The sequence below is a fragment of the Homo sapiens genome, chromosome 20 (assembly GCF_000001405.40).
Source record: "Homo sapiens chromosome 20, GRCh38.p14 Primary Assembly".
Taxonomy (NCBI): Eukaryota; Metazoa; Chordata; class Mammalia; order Primates; family Hominidae; genus Homo; species Homo sapiens.
Window position 1 is genome coordinate 1,633,379 of NC_000020.11, and position 15,156 is coordinate 1,648,534.

The 15,156-nt window shown below is 45.1% G+C and overlaps 1 protein-coding gene and 1 long non-coding RNA gene across 7 annotated transcripts in view, besides 1 other annotated feature; one reads left to right on the forward strand and one right to left on the reverse strand.

Moving 5' to 3' along the window:
* SIRPG (signal regulatory protein gamma) overlaps nucleotides 1-15,156 on the reverse strand; it is a 57,304-nt gene that overhangs the window by 4,227 nt on the left and 37,921 nt on the right. For 2 of the 6 annotated variants that reach the window (XM_011529286.3, NM_018556.4), the window contains exons 3-4: nucleotides 2,810-3,127; nucleotides 1,889-2,221 (exon numbers count right to left, since the gene is read on the reverse strand). The exons of 1 other annotated variant lie outside the window; for it this stretch is intronic. In XM_011529286.3, the coding sequence (XP_011527588.1) occupies nucleotides 1,889-2,221; nucleotides 2,810-3,127 (651 nt within the window). Of the gene's footprint in view, nucleotides 1-1,888; nucleotides 2,222-2,561; nucleotides 2,640-2,809; nucleotides 3,128-15,156 lie in introns of those variants that run through there. 3 more of the 6 variants (XM_011529287.3, XM_005260749.5, NM_001039508.2) reach the window with 3 other exon arrangements.
* On the forward strand, nucleotides 130-15,095 carry SIRPG-AS1 (SIRPG antisense RNA 1). The gene is made up of 3 exons (NR_110090.1): nucleotides 130-342; nucleotides 3,828-3,972; nucleotides 12,658-15,095. It is a non-coding gene; the product is annotated as an SIRPG antisense RNA 1 (long non-coding RNA).
* Nucleotides 1,712-2,537: an enhancer, noted in NCBI's record as "H3K27ac-H3K4me1 hESC enhancer chr20:1615736-1616561 (GRCh37/hg19 assembly coordinates)". NCBI's record gives its function as "activates a minimal SCP1, AML or CMV promoter by ChIP-STARR-seq in naive H9 embryonic stem cells {active_cell/tissue: H9 hESC(naive)}" and the evidence as "EXISTENCE:reporter gene assay evidence [ECO:0000049][PMID:30033119]".

Below are 15,156 nucleotides of genomic sequence, written 5' to 3' on the forward strand. Positions count from 1 at the left end.
ATTTGAATGTATACTCCATTTTAGATGATATAAGGGAATTGTTTTAATAATTTTATGAAATTTAGTGATTAAAAATTTGAAATTGTATTAACTGTAATAATGATACTGGTTTTGTTATGCTGTCTTTAGTCATAAGATCACCCAACTATGGATTCCATTTGGAACTGCGTGTACATGCATGACTGAGTTAGCTGTGGACATGATCACACGCCTTCCATACATCTCTGATTATAGAAGATATTTTTTGCCCTCCATTTCCTATATTTACTCTTCCAGCAGACAGGGACATGGAAAAATCCGTGACCTAGCACTGACCCAGCAGATAAGACTAACCACCATAAGGTATGTGGGAGGAACCTGGGCCTTTGAAAAGTCTCCTGGAGTTGAGACTCCTCCTGGTATTACACAAGAGGGAAGTAAGACATATTTTGGTCATACGGAGTGGAACACAGGCCAACTTCAGGTCCATGGGACAATGCCCAGCAGAAGAGGACTGTTTCTCTAACTAGCACAAATTTGCATTTTAGGCTGATACTGACCTTGTCCTCAGGGACCCAGATTTACTTTAATTAGTTTGAACCAATAACCCGATCTAAAGGCAAGAGGTCTTCAACAACATCCCCCATGACTTCCCAAGTCCTAGTTTCCCCTTCTTTAAAACTCCAGACTTACTGGGTGGTTGAAGCAAAAACAGAGATCATGGATGAATGGAAATTTGCACTTAGTAAATTTGCAGAGGGGTTTGTGATTATTGTTGCTCAAATATCACAATCAGGACACAGAAGAGGTCCGTTCTGTGACCATTCATGGTCACCTGCAGGCCTGGTACAGTTTTTTTTTTTTTTTTTGACAGAGTCTCGCTCTGTCGCCCAGGCTGGAGTGCAGTGGCATGATCTCGGCTCACTGCAAGCTCCGCCTCCTGGGTTCACACCATTCTCCTGCCTCAGCCTCCCGAGTAGCTGGGACTACAGGCGCCCGCCACCACGCCCGGCTCATTTTTTTGTATTTTTAGTAGAGATGGGGTTTCACCGTGTTAACCAGGATGGTCTCGATCTCCTGACCTCGTGATCCGCCCGCCTCGGCCTCCCAAAGTGCTGGGATTACAGGCGTGAGCCGCCAGGCCTGGTACAGTTTTAAACTACATTTGTCTTTCTGAAACATACACAGCAGATGTCAGGGTGTACTGGGATGAGGTCATAAATGAGGATGGAAAAGTTTGGATGAAACAGAAACAAAGCAGAGGTTAGAAAAAGTAGGGAGCACAAGGGTGGGCTGATGAGAAACGGGCACAACAACTCTCAAGGAATAAGGGAAGGCAAAGGACTCTATGAGAAGATGGTTCCCCCTGCCTGCCTCTTTGCTCCTTAAATATATATTTATGTACGCCAGGCGCGGTGGCTCACGCCTGTAATCCCAGCACTTTGGGAGGCTGAGGCGGGCGGATCACGAGGTCAGGAGATCGAGACCATCCTGGCTAACACGGTGAAACCCCATCTCTACTAAAAATACAAAAAATTAGTCGGGCGTGGTGGCGGGCGCCTGTAGTCCCAGCTACTCGGGAGGCTGAGACAGGAGAATGGCGTGAACCCGGGAGGCGGAGCTTGCGGTGAGCAGAGATCGCGCCACTGCACTCCAGTCTGGGCGACAGAGCCAGACTCCGTCTCAAAAAAAAAAAAAATTAAACATATATTTATGTCAAAAGTTCTATTAACTTGTGCATCAAATTCTTACTAGTCATGACTCTTCGCATGTGGGATTTGGGGGGATGGAGCTGACATTAAAATTTTACTTTGTATTTATAGACTTCTAGCTTATTTTACAGCAAGTGTGGATATTACTTTTAAAATGAGAGAAAAAGACAAAATTTAAAAATTTTGAGTAACCTCACCAGGGGTAGCATCTGAGCTCTGGTCCTTCTGGTGGACTGTGACCTCTAGGGCAAGGCGTTTGCTGACCGCCAGCTGCCCATCATGCTTCACCTGGCAGGTGAGGACCACATCATCCCTTTGGTCAGATATGTTCACCAGGAACCAGCTTGTCCAGTTGTAGGTACCATCCTTGTTCTCTGTAAGGGTCGAGGCTGTTTCTCTCTGGCACACGTTTCCATTCTCCGACCAGGTCAGCTGTAGGCTCTGGGGGTAGAACTTCCTCACCTGGCAGGTGACGTTTACCTGGTTCCCCACCCTCATGGGCTGTTGAGTAACCTCCAAGGTGGGTGGAACTGAAACAGCACAGGGTAGAAGCTCTGATCTTCTGGCACAGACAGATCACAGGGAGGGCTCCATAACTTAACTCCCACTACCACGGTGAGGGCATCACCAGGACAGTGCTAGGCAGGCAGCAGATGCTAAGACATTGAGGGCGCTCTTTGCATATGAATGAAATTACCAAGCACAGTGCCTGGTGCACAGTAGGTGCTCAAGGACTGGTAGCTCCTACTAGGCTAAGAATGAGTGAAATCTACAAGCACAACCCCTGGCATGCAGTTGGAATGTAAGAACTGTAGCAAAATCAGTGAAATCGCCGAGCACATAGGGACTTGGCTCATAGTAGGTACTCACTAATAGTAGTTGTTCTTGGTGAGATAAATGAAACTCTCTAGCGCAGAGCTTGGCACGTGATTGCTGGTCCCCTGACCGCTGCCAATAAAATGATAGTAAGTGACCAGCACACCTAGGTGCATGGCGGGCGGGCAGTATAGTCAGGGATTAGATTACAGGCCATTCAACCTCTGGAGCAACAGCCTGGGGAGAGGGGAGTGGGCTTGACAGCCAGGTGTGGGCTTGGGCTGGGTGTGAGGGTCCTCTACCTCGGATGGCCTCAGACAAGTTGGCAGTCCCACGAAGAGGGTCCCCCTGCAAGGTGACATGGGCCACCTCGCAGATGACCTGAGAGCGAACGTCCCAGGGGTCCAGTACCACCCTGGCTGTGCTGCGGATGCTGTAGGCCACACTCTGTCCTGTGGGGTCCACGTTGGTCTGGAAGTCTGAGAGCTCATTCCCATTTTTGAACCATTTCAGGGTGATGTCTCTGGGAGAGAAGCCATGGGACTCACAGGTGAAACTCACTGTATGCTCAGGTGTGGTCCTCGCCGCAGGGCCCAATACCACGGGGGCAGAGGGTTTGGCTACAAAAGGGGCATCGATAAACAGGAGACATGACTGAGATGACAATCACTAACGATGAGTGTGTGACACTGTTAAGAACCTTCAGATACATTAATTTTAATCCTTCTAATAATGTGGAGAGGATGGTGTTCTTATTCTCATTTTACAGAGCAGGATGCAAAGGTTGGAAGAGGTGACGACCAGCCCCAGGTCAGACAGTGTAGGGAAAGGTCCCAGAGGGAAGTCCAGGTCTGAGTTCAAAGTCCTCCTCTCCACATAGGGTGACTTCCACCAATCTGGGCACAGGAACAAAGTTACTGATTGTTCTCCCTCTGTGTATTAACTGGTGCTAGCCTGTTTCCCCAGGAGAGCTCACCAACCTCAGAGAGGGTGTTTACAGAAGCCAAAGTAGGGAACAATGGCAAAGTGGCGCCACCATGAGACCTGCAACCAGGCTGCTCAGCCCATGAGAGGGGTGGCCTGGAACATGCAGCCCCTCATCTGCAAAGTGGGACAGCAGCATTTTCCCTTCCCAGGGGTGCAACAAGGATTAAATGGGGCCATGGAAGAAGTTTTGCTTTGGATCAAAGTCAGAAGATGCTTCATAAAAATAAACACAGATCTGTCTTTAATCCAGACTTGACATATACCTAGAGCTCTCTCTCTTTGTGTATTTATGAATTTATTCCATATTTTTCATTCTTTTCACAAATATTCCAGTACAGTTTTTGAAAGAAAATGAAGTAGTTAAGGCTAAAGCTTTAACATGGAGTCAAGCGTTTGTAAGAGCATTGCACTCACACCTGCTAAAGGTCAAGCCACAGGATGTTGCTGTAGACCTGGATAACAATGGACTGAAGTCAAGGTACATGGGATTTTGATTTCTCTCATCCTGGAGTGTCCTAATTAAGTAACCAATTCATACGAGTTTGCAGTTTAGCATTTCTGCCAGGCAATGAACTGTTTTCAAAAACAACATTTTGTGAAAGTCCCCAGTACAAAACTTTTCCTGCATTGCCCTATGGGACACTGTTCAGGACTACCATGACTCAGGGTTCCCAAATTGCAACTCTTTATTTCCCAGATAAATGCTATTTCCTTTGGCCTTCCTATCAATCATTATTTTTTTTAGTTAGCAGGTCTAATCTGTGCCAAGTCCCAAATTTGAAAAGAGGGAAGGTTTCTTGGAATCTAGGTCTTCAGTTGGGCCAGGTTGGGTCCAAAAACAATGATCACTGAGTACTAAGAAAGCCAAAGGTGGGTGATTTCTTCATCGTTAATTCATTACAAGAGACAAAGATCTAGGCCACCCCAACAGGCAGAAATCTATCCTGGGTCCTGAAAGCACACAAACTGGAGAATCAGAAAAATGAGGGTAGTTTCTCCCTGTAGATGAGTCCTAAACGTGTCTCCAAATTGCTAATTATTACCCTGCACCTCCTATAGCAGTCATCAGGAAACACATATTAGGCATACTTGCATTTGTAAATATTAACTTGCTCCCTACCACATGCAAACATTTTATGGGCACAGTAAGAAGGGTGTCACTTGAAGAAGTCAAGTCATCAAGACACCAGCAGCATTGGGCATCCCTAGAGGGCTGAGAGGCTGTAACCAGTTGCCATTTATTGAGGGCTTCTTGGGAGCCTGATGCTGGCTGCTCCCTCTGTACCTCTCAGCTCTTTAATCCTCCCTTTATTGCCTTGAGGGGGTCCTCGTGTGAGTCCCTTATAGGACCAGGGTCTGAGGGGACCCCAGCTAGCAAAGGGCCAAAAGTGGATAAAAAACCCACCCTGGTAAGGTGAGGGAGGATGAAGGCAAGCACGGAGCCTGGTATGCAGCAGGTGCTTAATAAATGAGCCCTATGGCTGTTATCAAGAGGTTTGGTCATTACTACTTCTGAATCTACACACTTATTCTTTAGGCAGCAGAACATAGAGGAGTAGAAACACCAAGAAAAGGCTCAAATCCTGCTCCCTGCAGCTCATGAAAAACTCAAATGATAATAAAAGCAAAACCACCAAGTCTGGACAACTGGCTTTCAAAAAAAAATAAGATCATAGGTAAAGCTGGAAGCATTTTGGAAGGAGGAGGGAACAGAGTCCTCTGTGACATCTTTTTATTATTATTATTTTACTTTAAGTTCTGGGATACAAGTGCAGAATATGCAGGTTTGTTTTATAGGTTATGTTTGCCATGGTGGTTTGCTGCACTTATCAACCCATCATCTAGATTTTAAGCCCTGCATGCATTAGCTATTTGTCCTAATGCTCTCCTTCCCCTCACCCCCCCACCCCTTGACTGGCCCTGGTGTGTGTTGTTCCCCTCCCTGCGTCCATGTGTTCACATTGTGCAACTCCCACTTATGAGTGAGAACATGTGGTGTTTGCTTTTCTGTCCCTGTGTTAGTTTGCTGAGGATAATGGCTTCCAGCTTCATCCATGGCCCCGCAAAGGACATGAACTCATTCTTTTTTATGGCTGCATAGTATTCCATGGTGTATATGTACCACCTTTTCTTTGTCCAGTCTATCACTGATGGGCATTTGGGTTGGTTTCATGTCTTTGCTATTGTAAATAGTGCTGCAATAAACATACATGTGCATGTGTCCTCATAGTAGAATGATTTATATTCCTTTGGTTACATACCCAGTAATGGGATTGCTGGGTCAAATGGTATCTCTGGTTCTTGATCCTTAAGGAGTCACCACACTGTCTTCCACAATCGTTGAACTAATTTACATTCCCACCAAGAATGTAAAAACGCTCCTATTTTTCCACAGCATCACCAGCATCTATTGTTTCCTAACTTTTTAATAATCACCATTCTGACTGGCATGAGATGGTATCTCATTGTGGTTTTGATTTTCATTTCTCTAATGATCAGTGATGTTGAGCTTTTTTTCATATGTTTGTTGGCCACATAAATGTCTTCTTTTGAGAAGTGTGTGTTCATATACTTTGCATACTTTTTGATGGGGTTGTTTGTTTTTTTCTTGTGAATTTGTTTAAGTTCCTTGTAGATTCTGGATATTAGACCTTTGTCAGATGGGTAAATTGCAAAAATTTTCTCCCATTCTGTAGGTTGCCTGTTCACTCTCATGATAGTTTCTATTCCTGTGCAGAATCTCTTTAGTTTAATTAGATACCATTTGTCAACTTTCACTTTTGTTGCAATTGCTTTTGGCATTTTCGTCATGAAGTCTTTGCCCATGCCTATGCCTGAATGGTATTGCCTAGGTTTTCTTCTAGGGTTTTTATGGTTTTGGGTTTTACATTTAAGTCTTTAACCCATCTTCAGTTAATTTTTGTATAAGGTGTAAGGAAGGGGTCTGGTTTCAGTTTTCTGCATATGGCTAACCAGTTTTCCCAGTCCCATTTATTAAATAGGGAATCCTTTCCCCATTGCTTGTTTTTCTCAGGTTTGTTGAAGATCAGATGGTTGTAAATGTACAGCATTATTTCTGAGGTCTCCGTTCTGTTCCATTGGTCTATATGTCTGTCTTGGTACAAGTACCATGCTGTTTTGGTTACTGTAGCCTTGTAATATAGTTTGAAGTCAGGTAGCGTGATGCCTCCAATTTTGTTCTTTTTGCTTAGGATTGTCTTGGCTATACGGGCTTTTTTTTGGTTCAATATAAAATTTAATGTAGTTTTTTTTCTAATTCTGTGAAGAATGTCAATGGTAATTTGATGGGAATAGCACTGAATCTATAAATTACTTTTTCATGACATTCATCCTTCCTATCCATGAGCATGGAATGTTTTTCCATTTTTTTGTGTCCTCTCTTATTTCTTTGAAGCAGTGGTTTGTAGTTCTCCTTGAAGAGGTCCTTCAAATCCCTTGTAAGTTGTATTCCTAGGCATTTTATTCTCTTTGTACCAATTGTGAATGGGAGTTCATTCATGATTTGGCTCTCTGCTTGTCTATTGTTGGTGTATAGGAATGCTTGTGATTTTTGCACATTGATTTTCTATCCTGAGACTTTGCTGAAGTTTCTTATCAGCTTAAGGAGTTTTTGAGCTGAGATGATGGGGCTTTCTAAATATAGAATCATGTCATCTGCAAACAAAGACAATTTGACTTCCTCTCTTCTTATTTGAATACCCCTTATTTCCTTCTCTTGCCTGATTGCTCTGGACAGAACTTCTAATACTATGTTGAATAGAAATGGTTAGAGAGGGCGTCCTTGTCTTGTGCTGGTTTTCAAGGGGAATGTTTCCAGCTTTTGCACATTCATTATGATACTGGCTGTGGGGTTGTCATAAATAGTTCTTTTTATTTTGAGATATGTTCCGTTAATACCTAATTTATTGAGAATTTTTAGCATGAAGCGGTGTTGAATTGTATTGAAGGCCTTTTCTGCATCTATTGAGATAATCATGTGGCTTTTGTCATTGGTTCTGTTTATGTGATGGATTACATTTCTTGATTTGCGTATGTTGAACAAGCCTTGCATGCCAGGGATGAAGCCAATTTGATTGTGGTGGATAAACTTTTTGATGTGCTGCGGGATTCAGTTTGCCAGTATTTTATTGAGGATTTTCACTTTGATGTTTATCAGGGATACTGGCCTGATGTTTTCTTTTTTTGTTCTGTCTCTGCCAGGCTTTGGCATCAGGATGATGCTGGCTTCATAAAATGAGTCAGGGAGGTGTCCCACTTTTTCTAGTATTTGGAATAGTTTCAGAAGGAATGGTTCCAGCTCCTCGTTGTACCTCTGGTAGAATTTGGCTGTGAATCCATCTGGTCCTGGGCTTTTTTTGGTTGGTAGGCTATTAATTACTGCCTCAATTTCAGAACTTGTTATTGGTCTATTCAGGGGCTCGATTTCTTTTTGGTTTAGTCTTGGGAGGGTGTATGTGTACAGGAATTTATCCATTTCTTCTAGATTTTCTAGTTTATTTGCGTAGAAGTGTTCATAGTATTTTCTGATGTTAGTTTGTGTTTCCATGGGGTCAGTGGTGATATCCCCTTTATCTTTTTTTTATTGATTTGATTCTTCTCTCCTTTCTTCTTTATTAGTCTAGCTAGTGGTCTATTTTGTTAATTTCTTCAAAAAACCAGCTTCTGGATTCATTGATTTTTTGAAGGGTTTTTTGTGTCTTTATCTCCTTCAGTTCGTTTCTGATCTTAGTCATTTCTTGTCTTCTGCTAGCTTTTGCTCTTGCTTCTCTAGATCTTTTAATTGTGATGTTACGGTGTTGATTTCAGATCTTTCTAGCTTTCTGATGTGGGCATTTCGTGCTATAAATTTCCCTCTAAACACTGCTTTAGCTGTGTCCCAGAGATTCTGGTATGTTGTCTCTTTGTTCTTATTGGTTTCAAATAACTTCTTAATTTCTGTCTTAATTTCATTATTTACCCAGGAGTCATTCAGGAGCAGGCTGTTCAATTTCCATGTAGTTGTGTGGTTTTGAGTGAGTTTCTTAATTCTGAGTTCTAATTTGATTGAACTGTGGTCTGATAAACTGTTGGCTATGATTTCCGTTCTTTTGCATTTGCTGAGGAGTGTTTTACTTCCAATTATGTGGTTGATTTTAGAATAAGTGCCTTGTGGCACTGAGAACAATGTGTTTTCTGTTGATTTGGGGTGGAGAGTTCTGTAGATGTCTATTAGGTCCACTTGATCCAGAGCTGAGTTCAAGCCCTGAATATCCTTATTAATTTTCTGTCTCATTGATCTGTCTAATATTGACAATGGGGTATTAAAGTCTCCCACTATTATTGTGTGGGAGTCTAAGTCTTTTTGTAGGTCTCTAAGAACTTGGTTTATGAATCTGGGTGCTCCTATATTTAGGATAGTTAGTTGAATTGATCCCTTTACCATTAGGTAATGCCCTTCTTTGTCTTTTTTGATCTTTGTTGGTTTAAAGTTTGTTTTGTCAGGGACCAGGATCGCAACCCCCACCTTCTTTTGCTTTCCATTTGCTTGGTAAATTTTCCTCCATCCGTTTGTTTTGAGCCTATGTGTGTCTTTGCATGTGAGATGGGTCTCCTAAATACAGCCCACCGATGGGGCTTGACTCTTTATCCAATTTGCCTGTCTATGTCTTTTAATCGGGGGATTTAACCTAATTACATTTAAGCTTAATATTGTTATGTGTGAATTTGATCCTGTCTTCATGATGCTATCTGATTATTTTGCACACCAGTTGATGCGGTTTCTTCATAGTGATCACTGATCTTTATATTTTGGTATGTTTTTGCAGTGGCTGGTACCGGTTTTTCCTTTCCACATTTAGTACTTCTTTCAGGAGCTCTTGCAAAGCAGGCCTGGTGGTGACAAATCCCTCAGCATTTGCTTGTTTGGAAAGGATTGTATTTCTCCTTCACATATGAAGCTTAGTTTGGCTAGATATGAAATTCTGGGTTGAAAATTCTTTTGTTTAAGAATGTTGAATATTGGCCCCCACTCTCTCCTGGCTTGTAGGGTTTCTGCTAATAGTTGTTCTGTTAGTCTGATGGACTTCCCTTTGTAGGTGACCTTGCCTTTCTCTTTGGCTGCCCTTAACATTTTTTCCTTCATTTTGACCTTGGAGAGTCTGATTATTATGTGTCTTGGGGTTGATCTTCTTGTGGAGTATCTTAGTGGTGTTTTCTATATTTCCTGAATTTCAATGTTATCCTGTCTTGCTAGGTTGGGGAAGTTCTCCTGGATAATATCCTGAAGTGTGTTTTCCAATTTGGTTCCATCCTCCCCATCTCTTTCAGGTACTCCAATCAATCATAGCTGTGATCTTTTTACATAGTCCCATATTTCTCTGAGGTTTTGTTCATTCCTTTTCATTCTTTTTTTAAAATCTTGTCCGCATGTCTTATTTCAGCAAAATGGTCTTCAAACTCTGATATCCTTTCTTCTGTTTGGTTGATTCCACTACTGATACTTGTGTATGCTTCACAAAGTTCTTGTGCTACGTTTTTTAGCTCCATCAGGTCATTTATGTTCCTCTATAAACTGGTTTTTCTGGTTACCAGCTCCTGTAACCTTTTATTAAGATTCTTAGCTTCTTTGCGTTGGGTTAGAACTTGCTCCCGTAGCTCAGCGGACTTTGTTATTACTCACCTTCTGAAGCCTACTTCCGTCAATTCGTCCATTTCCTCCTTTGTCCAGTTTTGCACCCCTGCTGGAGACTCATTGCGATCATTTGGAGGAGAAGAGGCAACTCTGGCCTTTTGGGTTGTCAGTGTTTTCTGTTGATTTTTTCTCATCTTCATGAATATGTCTAGTTTTGATCTTTCAGGCTGCTGACCCTTGGATGGGGTTTTTGTGGGGACTTTTTTTGTTGATGCTGTTGTTGCCTTCTGTTTGTTTTTCTTTCAATGGTCAGGTCCCTTCCCTGCAAGGCTGCTGCAGTTTGTTGGGGGTTCACTTCGGGCCTTTTCATCTGGTTGGCTCCCACACCTGGACATGTCACTTGAAGAGGCTGGAGAACGGCAAAGATGGGTGCCTGCTCCTTCCTTTAGGATCTCTAACCTCGAGGGGCACTGATCTAATGCCAGTAGGAGCACTCCTGTGTAGGGTGTCCGACAACCCCTATTAGAGGGTCTCTCTCAGTTGGGTGGCACGGGGAGCAGGACCCATTTAACGAAGCACTTTGACTGTCCCTTGGTGGAGTGAGTGTGCTTCAGTGGGGAAAAACCCACTTATCTGGGCTGCCCAGATTTCTCAGAACTAGCAGCAGGAAAAACTAAGTCTGCCAGACTAAGACAGTGGCCACCCCTCCCCCTAGGGGCTCAGGCCCAGGGAGATCAGAGTTCTGTCCCTGAGCCCCAGGCTGGAGTTGTTGGAGTTCCTGGAGGGATGCCCTGCCCAGTGAGGAGGGATGGGTCAGTCCTGAAGAGGCACTCTGGCCGCAGTTTGCCACAGCTGGTGTGTTGGGCTGTGGGGGATACCTCTTGGGAACAAGCCATCTAGCCTCCCTGGCTCCAGCAGGGGAAAAGCATGGCCTGCAGTTATAGAGATGGCTGCCACCTTTCCTTTGCCCTGGGAACTTAGTGTGTTAGGCAGCGATCAGTCCCAATGCTGGCTGCCGCCTATCTCCCAAGGAGCTCAGATGGCTTAAACAGCAGGCAGCCACAGCTGTGATCCTGGCCACCCCTTCCCCTGGGAGCTCAGCAGCCTTAAGGAGATTCTAGCTGAATGGCTGTTGAGAATCTGTGCAGCTCTGCGGTTGATTGAGACCCTAGGCCCCAGTGGCATGGGCTCATGAGTGGGATCTCCCGATCTGAGGGTTGCACAGTTCTGTGGAAAAGCACTGTTTCACAGGCTAGGTAGCAGCTCACTCACCGCCTCCCTTGGCTGGGGGGTGGGGGCTTCCCTGCCCCACAGCTCTCAGGGGGCCTCTGCACCACACTGCTCTTCCTCTCCATGGGTCTCGCCAGCTGCCTAGTCAATTCTGATGTCAGAACCTGGATACTTCAGTTGGTGTTGCAGGATTTGCTCGCTTTTTTGGTTCTTTTCCATGGGAGCCTCCTATCACTGCTGCTTCTAGTCAGCCATCTTGGCCCTGTCCTGCGTGACATCTTGGTGTTTTGAGGCAGGGAGACTTTTGGGGCTGAGGAGTACTGGGATTTCAATGCTTTTTTAGATACACACGTTTTCACGATGGAAGGTCCTCCAGCACTGAGGCTGGATCTGAGCAGGGCTTTATCCGGAAACTCTATCTTGGGTCCTGAGGCCCGTACTGTGGGAGGGGTCCTGGCCAGGGCACTGAGGCCTCCTGAGCTGTTTCCACCACATTTTTTCTGAAGCACCCACCCCCAGAAAAGCTGTTCTCAAAGCCCCAACCCTATGGGGCATGACCTTTGCCAGGGGACTGGGTATGAGAATCTTCTGGAGTCATGAAGAGTTCAGATGCCCAGGCCCATGTCAGATCAATTAAATTGGCATTTTTAGGCGGATCCTGGGTCCAGGTTTGTAAACATTTTTGTCAAAGTTTCCCAGGTGATTCTAATGGGTGGCCAAGATTGAAAGCCACGAGACTCCACCCCAAACCCTATGTATCCTTGAGGCCTGGAGGAGCACTGGCCCACCTGAGATGTCATGGCTTCGGCATCACATAGTTCACATTTATGGAACATTTACTGCATTCCAGGTGCTGCTCTGAGCATGTTACACGATTTAACTCCTTCAGCTCTCCCTACAGTCTGTGATGTCGGTGTTATCATCAACAGATGAGGACACCAAGGCCCACAGTGGTGGTTGCCTTGTCCCAGGTCACAGAGCTAGAAAATGGCAGAGCTGGGAAGTGGCCCAGGCAGTTGAGTTCTTGCCCATGCTCTCCTAACCACTGTTCTGCCGAAGCTCAGTGATAAACCAAACACCTCCACCATTAGAGGCTCTGTGCACATCCTCTCCGATCCTCACAGAACCTAGAGTAGGGGCCATGATTATCAGCATCACACAGATGGAGAAACTGAGGACTCAAGGGAAGGCAAGACTGGCTTAAGATTACACAACCTTGAAATAGCACCTCAATTTGGGGATGCTTAGAATGTGCTAGGTGATTTACAGAGAGAACCTCAAATCATTTTCTTTCTCTTAAAGGAGTTCATGATGATCACCATTCTACAGAAGAGGAAACTGAGGCTGGGAGAAATGAAGGCACTGTCTCCTTGTCCTCCATGTGTCCCAGTGGGCACCTTCTGTGTCCCACCAAGCATTCATGTCCATTAACAGAGCAAGTGCCCTGAATTCTTGAGCCCCAACACTGACTGCACACCCAATTGTCCCTTCGAGATTCTTGACTTCATGCAATTCAAGGGAGAAGCCTCCCTCCTGGGTGCCCAGGCCCAGATACACTGTGGCCAGAAACAAAACACTGTAGGCTCCTGTCAGCCTGAGGGGAGCATGGAAACTTGCTCCTATGGGCCCCACGCACCCCGTAGGAAATACCTCATCTCCTCATCCTTAGTCCTCAGCACCAAGAAGAGGTGGGCATGTGCTCCGCTGAGCTGCAGGAGGCCCAGCTCTGCTCCATAGATGCTGCTGAGTGAAGGAGAAACAGCACAACATGGGGGGAGAGTCCTAAACGCTTCATGTGTGCTGAGACCTGTCTTTTAGAAACAGGCTTGACATATAGTGAACCATCTGCAGAACCTTTCTAATGAGAGGGTAAAGCCAGCCCCTCCTACCCCTACAGGACTTTTTTTCATTTGTTTTGTTTTGTTTTGTTTTTGATGGAGTTTTGCTCTTGTTGCCCAGGCTGGAGTGCAATGGTGCAATCTCGGCTCACCGCAACCTCCGCCTTCCAGTTTCAAACGATTCTCCTGCCTCAGCCTCCCGAGTAGCTGGGATTACAGGCATGCGCCACCATGCCTGGCTACTTTTTTATTTTTAGTAAAGGCGGGGTTTCTCCATGTTGGTTAGGCTGGTCTTGAACTCCTGACCTCAGGTGATCCACCCACCTCGGCCTCCCAAAGTGCTGGGATTACAGGCATGAGCCACTGCACCCAGCCTCAGTTTCGTCTTTAATGCTTTTCGCTATAGAACTGAACAATGCCAGAGTCCGGAAAGAGAAGGTTGGAGCATTTCTCTACACTTGAAAAACCACATCTGAGTGAGTGTTGCAGAGACAGGGGCTGTAAGTCAGGCTGGTGGGGAGGAAATCTTGGCTCCCTGACCTGCTCACCACTCAGATCTCCTCTCTGAGCCTCAGTGTCCTCATCTTTAAAGAGGCAACAAATGGCTCCGCCCTCATAGCACTGGTTATAAGCAGACTTTGGCACAACTGCCACTCCCTGGCCCCCTTCCCTGCCTCCCTCCTTTCTCATCCAGGTCATCATTTAGGCTGAGAGCATGGCAAAGAGGGGTGAGCACCATACTAGGAGTTAGCATATCTGAGTCACACCTGAGCTACTTTCTGGCTGTGACTGCCTGGGCTGGGGAGGCACCATCTGGAAACTTCGGTGTCTTTGCCTATATTATCTGATCAGGGTAAATCCACTTCCACATCTATGTTCAAGGGTGGTGGGGAGCCCTGTTGCTATGTCATCTAGGAGGGAAATTAGATAATATTCTCATATATGAAAATACACACACCCTCTGACTTAGCAATGTCACTTCCAGTGGGTGTCTCCCACCTGAGGAGGGTGATACATGTACAAGGCCATCCACTGCAGGATTGTTAGTAGCTCAAGTTTGGGAACAACTTACATACCCATCAACAGAATGCTGTGAAATAAATTTTGATATTTCCATAAATTGGAGTGTTCTGCAGCTGCTAAAGAGTGGAGCAGTTCTATGTCCTGACGTGGAATCTCGATACGGAATGTTAGGGCTTATGTTTGGAAGAAGTTTTCCAATCACCAATGGGCTTTAGTGTCTGAATGTGAGGTGCATTCTGAACCTTTGGGAAATGGATGAAAAAAGAAATCCTGGCTCCCTGATCCATGGTTCTGTTTGAGGAGCTTTTATTTAGTACCTGTGATGCACCAGGTTCTTCTATGAAGACAGTGTCTAACAAACACTGGGGAAGGAAGGAGCCTGCCTCTATTCGGACCTTGACTCTGGCTTTGATTCCATCAATAACTGGCCATGTGACTGTGGACAAGGCCCCTATCATCTCTTGGCTTAAGTCCCCCATCTGTAAAGGGGAGTTGGGCTGAAAGTCTGAAGGTCTTTCCCGTGCTGAAATTCCAGGATTCAGGAGGTAGGATGAGGATTCTGGGCCTCTGGCTGGAAACCCCAAATAAGTTTTATTGCTGCTTTAAATTGGGCACCCCTGAGCCACCCATACGTATGACCTCTTTTCTGAGGTGAAGGATATTCTGAGATGACCCAGCTCTGCTCAGAGCCCACAGTGACTGTATGACTCAGTCCTTAAATCACCCAAGGCTTCAAATAGACCCACAGCAAATGCGAGACTTATTGGCATCTCCTCCCACCGGGCCATTAGACTAAACAGTGAATCTGTGCCTCCCAGGAATCTTCCCTGTGTGATGTTTCTGAAGATTAAATAAAGAAAAACACGATTTACACTTTCCATCCCCTGGATGAATTTCTCCTCATTAGAATGGAAGAGAATGTAAGCTTGGTGTGGGGAAG